Here is a 10716-nt window from a genome sequence, read left to right as displayed (position 1 = left end):
GGAGTCTAAGACTCTCCCAAATTTACTAACAGCTCTAAATCTGCCTGTCCCAAAACCTTTCACTAACCAGCAGGGCTGCTCTCAGATGGTCTTTGCAGGCAAAAGCCCTTCAGTTTCAGGTTTCAGGGTTGGAGATAGGAACTTTTTTGGACGTGAATCACTCACGGGTGGTCTGCAGCATGCCTTCTGACCTGAGGCCTCCTGCTCCCTCCAGGCAGCAACAACTCCTTCCAGAGACTCCTAAGGTCTCTGGAGACTGCAATGGAGGCTGCATAGCTCTTTCCTCTTTTGGTCAGTAACTAGTTCTTTGAGATAAGAATAAATAAACAGCAATGAAATGATTCCATCAGGAGATTTATCTTCTAAAAACTGCTGTCTGGAGAAAGATGGTAGTGTTAACAGAGATCAAATAAATATTTTCCCTATAGTCACTGAAAATTCTCCAAAGAAGCAATAACAAAGGAGAAAATTATACCTGGGATGAAGCCAACAAAGTGCTGAAGAGTAGACAATAAACCACAAGGAGTAAAGCACAATTTGAACAAAAATGAAAGACTTCAGCAGTCAACTGACAGCCGGACAGATGTTGAGTACATTGCTGGGTGGTAGGAGGCAAGTGGGGGTAATACTGAGGTCTCCTGCTAATTCCTCTCACCTAAGAGGCACAAGGGCTAGACGCACAGCTTTGGCAAAGATAGGAAATTCCCCGGAGTTTTTTTCTTCATGGAAGATGCCAAGACTGACAGAGCTGGAGGGTAGGAGGGTAGATTTATCCACCAAACAGTGTTGGAAGTAAAAGGAGCTCCTCAGCCAAACAATTTTTTCTTCTCCTTTAATCAAAGGAGCCAGTTTTTCCTCCTCTAAACCAAGGGAGCAGTGGAAGAGAAATGCCCAAAAGACTTCAGGAACACCAATCAAGGCCAACATATAGTGAAGCAGGTTGTGGCATGGTCCTCTGGGCTCACCTCGTGCAAACAGCACAGATAACTCTTGCAGGCAGCCCTCTGCAGAGGAAAGATGGCATGAGGAGGAGGAGAGAGTAGGGCTTCATTCGGTAGTGCACTAACCTACAGAAGCTGAGCAAATCTGCACCAGCAGCCAATACCCAGAAGCCTCCTTTGGTGCTCCTTAAATTCTAGGGCATATAAGACTCCTCTAGACATTGTTTAAAATGCATGCTCCTGAACCCCACCCCAGGAGGCTCTTGTTCAATAGTGAGGCCCTAGGAATGTTTTTTTCCCCCTCTTTTAAAAAAAGCAACTGATATTCTACCAACCACACTTGGGAAAATGTCTGATCTTTTATTTATTAAAATAGGCAATAAATGGAAAATAATGAGACATTTGAGCAAGACTAGCATTCAGAGGATGAAGCTGAAAATGTAAAGCAAATGGCTACCTATGAATATAGAATCTAGAATATTAACAACCACCCCAACATACTAACAAGTATATTTTAAAAGATAGGTAGAAATGTATTATTTAAGGAGCAAACTACTGTGTGTGTGAGTGCGCACGCACACACACACACACACACACACACGAAGATACACTAGAACCAATGAAACCATGAGTTTAATAATACTTAAACAATATGCAGGCACCACGTTGGGAGCTTTATATGTATGAATTCATTTAAAAATGATCACATCCTGGGAGGAAAATTCTTTGGTTATCTCTATACAATAGAAGAGGAATGGAGACTTAGAGAGGTGAGATAGTTTGTCCAAAACCATAAAGCTAGTAAGTGCTGAGGCCAGAATTCTAGCCAAATTTAGAGGTCTGTTCTAACCACTGCACTGTTCTTTGCACTGCACTGCACTTGGAAGAGATGAATTGTAACAATTCTGACCGAGAAAAGAGAGAAGATGAAATATTAAGACTGACTAATTTATTCATTCATTCCTTCAAAATATATATACATGGCATGTCTACTATATGCCATGCTGGACACTTTCAGCAGTGAAGGAGGTGGAGAAATTCTTTATCCTCATAGGTCTTACATAACAGTTGAAGGAGCAGAAAACAAATAACCTATATATTTACAATAAATATATGTTTTAAAGAAAAATATAGCAGAACAAAGGGATTAGATGAGTTGGGCAGGAGGAGGCTATTTTAAATTGGGCACTCAGCTGTGGTTTTTCTGCAAACAGAACAAAAGCAGCTATGGGAGAGTCAAGCAAAATCTTGAGATGTGCATGCCAAACAATAGGAATACACTAAGCTGGGCATGACCTTGGTGTGTCTGAGCAATGGCAAGAAAGCCAGTGAGGCTGGAGTAAAGGTGCAAGAGGAATAACATTACAAAATGACTTCAGATAGTCAGCTTTATTTATGCTACTCCCTCAAAATATTGGAAATTCCATCTCAGGGTGTGCCCTATGACATGAATACGATGACCTACACAAGCAAGCCATGTCCATTGCTTTACAGTGCTAGAGAAAACATCTGAGAATACATGTACTGGTAAGGATGGATATTATATAGCAAAGACACGGAATCAACCTAAATGTCCATCAGTGATAGACTGGACAAAGAAAATGTGGTACATATACACCATGGAATACTATGCAGCCATAAAAAAGAACAAGATCATGTCCTTTGCAGGGACATGAATGGAGCTGGAGGCCATTATCCTTAGCAAACTAATGCAGGAACAGAAAACCAAATACCACATGTTCTCACTTAGAAGTGGGAATTAAATGATAAGAACTCATGGTCACATAGATGGGTAGGGCCTATTGGAGGTAGGAGGGTGAAAGGAGGGAGAGGAACAGGAAAAACAACCAATGGGTACTAGGCTTAATACCTGGGTGATGAAATAATCTGTACAGCAAACCCCCATGACACAAGTTTACCTATGTAACACACCTGAACTTGTACCCCTGAACTTAAGAAATAAAGTAAAATAAAATGAATAATGCAAAAAAAGATGGATATTATAGTTCATGTATTATAGTGCCTCCAGTGGACTTTTAAAAAAATCAAGTTAACATTAACCTGATTCTAAGATTCATTTATTTGGGCTCAAATATTGGTCGACTACACTCCAAATGGTCCCTGGTAAGTCAGTTCAGCGCACATTTTCCTACAGCCCATAGTGCTTCTGTAGTAGTTTAATTTTTTAGAATGAACCCAAAGTCCTATTTAGCACCTCTGAATTTATTTATTTATTTATTTATTTGAGATGGAGTCTTACTCTTGTCGCCCAGGCTGGAATGCAATGGCACGATCTTGGCTCACTGCAACCTCTGCCTTTTGGGTTCAAGCAATTCTCCTGCCTCAGCCTCCCGAGTAGCTGGGACTACAGGCATGCACCACCATGCCCGGCTAATTTTTGTATTTTTTAGTAGAGACAGGGTTTCACCATGTTGGCCAGGCTGGTCTCGAACTCCTGACGTTGGGTGATCCACCTGCCTCAGCCTCCCAAAGTGCTGGGATTATAGATGTGAGCCATTGCGCCCCGCCAGCACCTCTGAATTTAATGATGGTAGTAGCAGTAGTACAAACCATAACCAGAATGACCGCATTATTTCTGGGAGGAAATTAATTCTGGGTTCCACTAAGTGGGGCCAAATCACAGCTCCTTATACAGCCCACTCTGGTTCTGCTGTTTTTATAGGGTCTCCACAGCAGCAGTGAGGTTCCTAGAGTTCTTGTGGCATCCGAGGGAGCCCTGTGCAGTTAAAGAGGGTCCTGGTGGATCCTGGTGACCTAAGTGGTAGTAGGGAATCACACAAGAGTCCCCAGAATATCATGAGCGGGCAGAGAGCCCCACTGTTCTCAGCAGTGGAAGGAAAAGGAAAGTAAACATGATGCAAAGGCGCAATTCTGGCACAGAAGAGAGGGGGCCTCCGGGCAGTACTGCTCTGCTGCCAATTCTAAGGGGAACTGTTCTTATTAGAGGGGCACCCCTCAGAATTCAGTGTGTCTGGAGTTGTTCAATGTGGAGGTGAACTCCTGAATAAGACATCTCTGTCCGGGTGAGAGACATTTATGCATCAGGTAATGGTATGTAGAAAACTGTCTTAGAAACTTCTGCTTATATGTTACAAACTTCTCCATATATTGAAATACACGTATATTTAATAAATCAGAAGATATAGTAGGGTTATTTGGCTTCATGCTTTTTCATATACCAAGTTGTGTGACCAGAAGTGATAGTTTGTCTCCAGAACTGCGTTTTGGATCCATCCTTCTGGTTACGTTGTGGATGAATGCAGAGGGAGGAAAGACTGGAGACAGGAAGAAGAGTTAAGAAATCAGGAAATGATTGAAATAGTGCAGGTAAGAGGTGTCTAGGGTCCGATCTAGGACAGGATAATTTGACATTTTAGGTAGAAAAATTGGACAGGATTGAAGAATTTGACATGAAGGCAAGGAAGGAGAATAGCATAGAACCCAGTGCCTGGTTGACTAAGTGGGTGATAGTGAATGAAGGAACAATTTTGGGGGAATGACAGTGATTTCACTTTTAGACACATGGAGTTTGTTGTTTTGTTCTGTTTTTTAGAGACAAAATTCCAGCCTGTAGCCGAGGCTGGAGTGCAGAGACACATTGAGTTTGATACTCCCAGGGATACCCATATTGGAAGCTCCAGCAAGCCTGGAGTCCAGTGTCACCAGCATGCAAGTGACCACTGAACCAGGGGAATGCAACAACCATCACTGACAGTTTGTAGAGGACACAACATCTAGGAAAGAACTTTGATGAACAACAATGGTCAGAGGGAAGGGTATTAGCAATGAGAGTTTATGTTCTGGAAAATCAAAGGGCATGTCATTAACTTGATTTACAGAGCACCATAACCCCAATATCTCTGCTCCTGGCTACTTAATACCATTCAATGATGATTATTAGAAACACTTACAATGAACATAAAATAGGCTGCTTCTTCCTCCTTTAAATCATTACTAAAATATATCCTATGTAATAATCTGCAAAGAATTTAACATCATTTAAAACAGGATTAAATAAGCTCTTTGGTTATCTTTTAGAGGAGACTTAAAAGTTATAAATATTTGCATTGACTTAAAATTTTTTAATTGCAAAACAGTCCACTTATTTTAGTCAATTTCATATTGTTTTAGTCAACCCTACTAATACTGTCAGACTTTTCCTGTTTTTGAAATTGTCAGTAATATGTCAGAATTTTTTTTTTTTTTTTTTTTGAGACGGAGTCTCGCTCTGTCGCCCAGGCTGGAGTGCAGTGGTGCGATCTCGCTCACTGCAACCTCCGCCTCCCGGGTTCACGCCATTCTCCTGCCTCAGCCTCCCGAGTAGCTGGGACTACAGACGCCCGCCAACATGCCCGGCTGATTTTTTGTATTTTTAGTAGAGATGGGGTTTCACCGTGTTAGCCAGGATGGTCTCAATCTCCTGACCTCGTGATCCGCCCATCTCGGCCTCCCAAAGTGCTGGGATTACAGGCGTGAGCCACCACGCCCGGCCATATGTCAGAATTTTTGATCAGCAAAAAACCAATGCATCTTAATTAAAAAAAATAAATTAGAAGCAGGGCTGCGAGGACATATTCCAAGGAAGCCAGAGCTGGAGTTGGGGCCAGCTGGGCCGGTGACATGGAGCCCCTGAACCAGCAAACGCACAAGCAGGTCCATGAGATACATTCTCACATGGGACACCTGGAGACGGCAGACAAGCAGTCTGTGCACTTAGTAGAAGGTGAAATCCAAGCAAGCACAGACCAGATATTCAGCCATCTAGAACATCGGGAGATTTTGTCCAGCAAGGAGCCCCCTAATAAAAGGCAGAATGCCAAACTTCGGGTTGACCAGTTTAAGTATGATGTTCAGCACCTGCAGACTGCTCTCAGAAACTTCCAGCACTGGTGCTATGCAAGGGAGCAGCAGGAGGGACAGCAAGAAGAGCTTCTATCTCGAACCTTCACCACTAACAATTCTCAATCACAATCCTCTGACAACTATTGGAGATTATTATCTGTTTAAATTACCGGCATTACAATATCTCGACATGGAAACAACACAAGTCCCACTAACAACAATTGAGAACATCCCCATGATGACTCTTGAATTGGAAAAACTAGCTGTCAGCTTCTCAGTCTGCACAATTAATCAAGAAATAATGTGGAGCCACTGGTACAAATAATGAGGCATCTCCCAGAAGTTTAACTTCCTATCCATCCAATCTCTTGGACAGATAATACCAGTTAATTACTTTGAATGTGGCTCTAAAAGCTGAGTTGGGGGCTGCTTTATGACTGGAGATGGTTTGACCTTCTCAGGTGGCTCTGATGGCTGAGCTGGTATCTCCTGCTGCAGTGGAGGACTGACCTCTTCAGTGGACTTCGGAGGATGACCTGAGGCTTCCTGCTGGGTTGCAGATGGTTCAACCTCCTTAGGGGGCTCTGGTGGCTCATCTGGGAACTCTGCTGGACTGGAGAAGGTTCTACCTCCTTAGGGGGGTCTGGAGTCTGAGCTGGGGGCTATAATTGGGTTGAGGAAGAGCCCACCTCTTTGGAGTGTTCTGGAGGCTGAGCTGGGGCCTGTTCCTGGCTTGTTGTAAGTTTCTTACCTGGCTCTGGAGTTACCGTAAGCTCCACGTCCACAGGTTTGATTGTGACACTGGGCAAGTGTGAGTGCTGAACTTCACTCCAACTTTTCAATGGAACATTTACCTCATGATGTATCAATAGTGGGGCTAGGATCTCTTCAAAGGCAGGTAGCTGCTGTGCTGGAGCCTTCTGCTCTGTTGAAGAGTGGACCCCCTCAAGGGACTGTGAAGGCAGAGCTGGGGCCTCCAGCTTTGGTTGAAGAAAGTTCTACCACCTCAGGGAGCTGTGGAAGCTGCGCTGCAGCTTCTTGCTGGAGTAGAGGACTGGATCTCTTCAGTGGTTTCTGGATTTTGAGTTTCAGGCTCTAGATGGAACTGAGAAAGTCCAGCTTGCTCAGGAGGCCCTGGAGGCTCATCTGAGCTCACCTGGAGTTCTGGAGGCAGGCTGCCCAGATACAGTATATCCATACTTGAATCTAAATACCCATTCTGCAGAGTTTGTTTCTGACGCTGAGGTTTTGATACAAATCGGTATGGAGTTCCAACAACAACCTTGGCAAGCCTTTGATGCTGAGCTAGATCTTTCTTCCGGTTCTTGGGCGAAACAGTAAAGTTCCTTGCTTTTGATTTCTATCTAGAGGTGGAACAAGTATTTCATATGCCTGATGATCTGCAGCCTGATCTAGATCTACAGTTAGAAACTTACTTTTGAGGCAAAGAGGCCGAGCTAGGGCCTGGTTCTGATCCCAGTCTAGCATTGCAACCACCTCTGGGAGACTTCTGTGCCGAGTCAGCTTGTCATTCAGATCCCAGTGTGCAGCAGCGAACTGCTCTGGCCCCGGGGCAGCTCTCCAGCTGAATCCGTGTCCAAGAATGGAACCAAACTCTGAGCCAAAGTCTCAGTCGATTCCTGAAGCGGAGCTGACGTCTGGGAGGAAGCAGAAGACCCCAGGTAATCAAAGCTCTCCCGGGTCTGCCCGGGGGTGGGGAGTTAGCTCATGGCGGCGATTCGCGTGGGAGATCGGAGGAGCGGGAAGACCAGGGCTAAGTTGGCCCCAGGGAGTCAGAGGTCAGCTGGAGCGGGTCCTGGACCCACTCCAGAGGCTAAGCCGCCTGGACTAGTAGCCACAATAGTTGCCATGTGAGGAGGGGCCCGTGGGGCCCAGAGACGCAGCCGGGACAAGACAAGCGCTGGCGCCGCGCACTGAGCAGGAGCCATTAGGGCAGCCCCGAGACGCTGGCGCCCCTGGCAACCGCGCGCCCCATCCCGTCCTTTATTAACTACACCTTTATTTACGCAGCCTTTATTAGGCTCGGGTCCAGATCCGCTCCGCGTCACCAGGGCAATCTTATCCCACAATCCAGCCCAAACCTCCCTTCCGCCCTGCCCGGCCGGAACACCCCTCCCCTCCCCTCTGCGAGGAAGAATTTGGGCCGCGGGGTCTGCGGTCCCAAGACTCCAGCAGCCTGGTGGGGTGGGGTGGGGTGGGGTGGGTTGGAGGTGCGGCAGAGCTTCCCAAGGAAGTTATGGGACCTTGCCTCGGGATATTCAGAAGTGCCAGTCCAGTTCTGGCAGCCTGAACTCTTCCTCCTCCAAGCTGAAATCCGAGAGATGCTTTTCCTCCTCTTGGCCATAGGGAAAGCAACTGACCTGCAAAATGTGCGCCAGTTAGGGTGGCAGGCAGAGCACACATTACGGTCATTTATTCCAAAATGTTGCCATTTTCGCCAAACCTTTGATATCCTTTGTTGCATGTTTGGTAATTAATTCACCACCCTATTAGGCAGGGGCTGCCGGGGAATAAACGAGGACTCCAAATTTTCTGTAGGAGGGGTTTTGGGGGGTGAGCAATTCAGTCTGGGAGAGAGAAGGCCTTTAATCCTAGTGAATAGCTCTTTGCACTAGCCTGGGAGGAAGCTGAACTGTCATCCTGCCTTGACTTAACACAGCCTTTACCCTAGAAGCTACAGCGCCACTCTTCAGAGGTCTACCCTGTGTGCACACAGGGAGAAGACGCTTAGGTTGTTAAAGTCAGCATGTTAAATAATTTTCTGAAATGCGACTATAACTAGAACCCAGCTGACTTCCCCCATAGCCATTCTTACCTATCTTATTACTGATTGTCTGGTACAATCACAAAGTGCGGTGGTACTGACACCTACCTTTTAGGGTTGTTTGAGGATTTCATGGGATAATGAATGTAGACTGCTTTGCAAACAGTGAGCTTTCAATAAAAGGGATCTATTATAAAACAATAATTAAAAAAGAAATTAGAAGCCAATAAGAAAAACATTAACATTGTGTGATGGTGGAAATATGTATGCTATATTGCTAAATTATATGTTTAAATTTCAAAAAATTAAATAGTTCAAAAATGTAGTTTTCATATTTCATTATTCAGCTGCAGCCTGCAGTGAAAACATGTCTTTTCTGTACATTTTGAGTATGCCAAGATTTAAAATCCAACCTCATGATTAGTATGTAATTCATTTATATGTCAGAGGCTACACTCATAAACGTGAATAATCATTCCCAACTTCCTTTTCTAGCTGATATTTTTTGACCCAAATTGAGTAATAAAGAGGTCTTGGTATTTCATTAGTGATTGAAGACCTCAAATTCTCTTTTATTGTGTGTGATTCTGCCACTAAGAACGGGATCATAGTAGCGCTGTGGTTTATTCAAGTTCTGATTCTTCCCACCGTGATAGCCACTGACTGCCAACATTACCGGAACCACTGTTGCCAGATGAAATGAAGGCAAGTAGGCAGAGGAAAACCATCCTGTGAGCACCCACTTCAGGCCTGTGCTCCTAGGCTAAGCTGAGCCTGCTGATGAGGGAGTCACAGAGACGTTCATCTCAAGCACTTCTCAAAGCCGCCTCTAGGGGGCAGAACAATCACAAACCTGAGAGCACTACTGAGGAAGACTCATTGTAATGTGAGCAGCCACCCAGGATTCTGCATCCTTTCCTTATAAATGTTATGTGGTGTGCCTTTTAATTCCACTCACAATTGATTTGTTTTCATGATATATGGTACCAAGCTCTAAAGTTACAAAAATATATTCTTATTCTCCAGAATCAATATTACCCAATATTACCAATTCCTTATGTATTCTTCCAGAGAATACGTGTGTATGTGTGTGTGTGTTGTGTATACAATACCCTTGCTCCTTCCTCCTTCTATATGAATGGTAGTATCCATATACTCAATTCTGTATCTTGGTTTCACTTAATATTATCTTGGATGAGATTCTATAAAAGAATACAGGAAGCTTTTTTTTGTTTATGGTTGCAAATTATTCTAGCTATGTGTATACCATAATTTTTAAATACTTCAGTAAAGGGCATTTAATTATTTCTTCAGTACTACAGAATCTTGTGTATGCATAATTTCACTTATGCATGAGTACATCTGAGGGTGGAATTCCTAGTGTAGAATTCCTAGTTCGAAGGGTATGTGAGTTTGCAACTTGATAGATACTGCCAAGTGTATCAATCAGGGCTCTCCAGAGAAACAGAACCCACATACACACATACACACACACACACATACACACACAGAGAGAGAGAGAGAGAGAGAAAGAAAGAGAATTGGCTTACACAATTGTGAGGGATGATAAATCTGAAATCTGTAAGGCAGGATGCCAAGTTAGAAACTCAGGCAAGAGTTATTGTTGTAGTCTTGAGTCTGAAATTTGTAGGGCAGGCTAGCAGGCTGGAACTCAGGAAAGACACCTATGTTTCAGCCTGGAGGTAAATTCCTTCTACTCTGGGAAACCTTCGTCTTTGTTCTTAAGACCTTTAACTGATTGGATAAGACCTATCGACATTATCAAGGGTAGCCTGCTTTACTTAGCGTCAACTGCTTAAAGATGTTAACCACATCTACAAAATATCTTCATGGCAATGCCTAGACTAGTGTTTAACCAGACAACTGCACACCCTTGCCTAGTCAAGTTGACACACATTATTTTTTTTGTAAGTTTTTATTTTTTACAGTTTTGATTCATGATGGTTTATAATGTATATGTTAGGCATTCTACTATGGAAATGTAACACAGATGTTTAACATGAAGTTGCTGACATCCACTTTTGTTGGTTTTTTTTTATACTTTAAGTTCTAGGGTACATGTGCACAACGTGCAGGTTTGATGCATAGGTATACATGTGCCATGTT

The 10716-nt window shown here is 43.8% G+C and overlaps 1 protein-coding gene and 2 pseudogenes across 1 annotated transcript in view, besides 3 other annotated features; 2 read left to right on the top strand and 1 right to left on the bottom strand.

Moving 5' to 3' along the window:
* LOC390846 (golgi SNAP receptor complex member 2 pseudogene) lies at positions 5550-5920 on the top strand (annotated as a pseudogene).
* Positions 6294-7753, bottom strand: LRRC37A7P (leucine rich repeat containing 37 member A7, pseudogene; annotated as a pseudogene).
* Positions 6858-8057: an enhancer, noted in NCBI's record as "BRD4-independent group 4 enhancer chr18:29303886-29305085 (GRCh37/hg19 assembly coordinates)". NCBI's record gives its function as "activates an origin of replication core promoter dependent on BRD2, P300/CBP, MED14 and CDK7 cofactors, and independent of BRD4, by STARR-seq in HCT116 cells {active_cell/tissue: HCT116}" and the evidence as "EXISTENCE:reporter gene assay evidence [ECO:0000049][PMID:35650434]".
* Positions 7063-7562: an enhancer, noted in NCBI's record as "H3K4me1 hESC enhancer chr18:29304381-29304880 (GRCh37/hg19 assembly coordinates)". NCBI's record gives its function as "activates a minimal SCP1, AML or CMV promoter by ChIP-STARR-seq in primed H9 embryonic stem cells {active_cell/tissue: H9 hESC(primed)}" and the evidence as "EXISTENCE:reporter gene assay evidence [ECO:0000049][PMID:30033119]".
* B4GALT6 (beta-1,4-galactosyltransferase 6) overlaps positions 7339-10716 on the top strand; it is a 102396-nt gene continuing 99018 nt past the window's right edge. Inside the window, exon 1 of the mRNA XM_005258387.5 lies at positions 7339-7486. Within this exon, the coding sequence (XP_005258444.1) occupies positions 7408-7486 (79 nt within the window). The 5' untranslated portion in view covers positions 7339-7407. The remainder of the gene's footprint in view (positions 7487-10716) is intronic.
* Positions 7529-7628: an enhancer, noted in NCBI's record as "active region_13206". NCBI's record gives its function as "activates an Ori minimal core promoter by ATAC-STARR-seq in GM12878 lymphoblastoid cells {active_cell/tissue: GM12878}" and the evidence as "EXISTENCE:reporter gene assay evidence [ECO:0000049][PMID:35858748]".

The sequence above is a fragment of the Homo sapiens genome, chromosome 18 (genome assembly GCF_000001405.40).
Source record: "Homo sapiens chromosome 18, GRCh38.p14 Primary Assembly".
Taxonomy (NCBI): Eukaryota; Metazoa; Chordata; class Mammalia; order Primates; family Hominidae; genus Homo; species Homo sapiens.
This window is presented reverse-complemented; position numbering and strand designations above follow the sequence as displayed.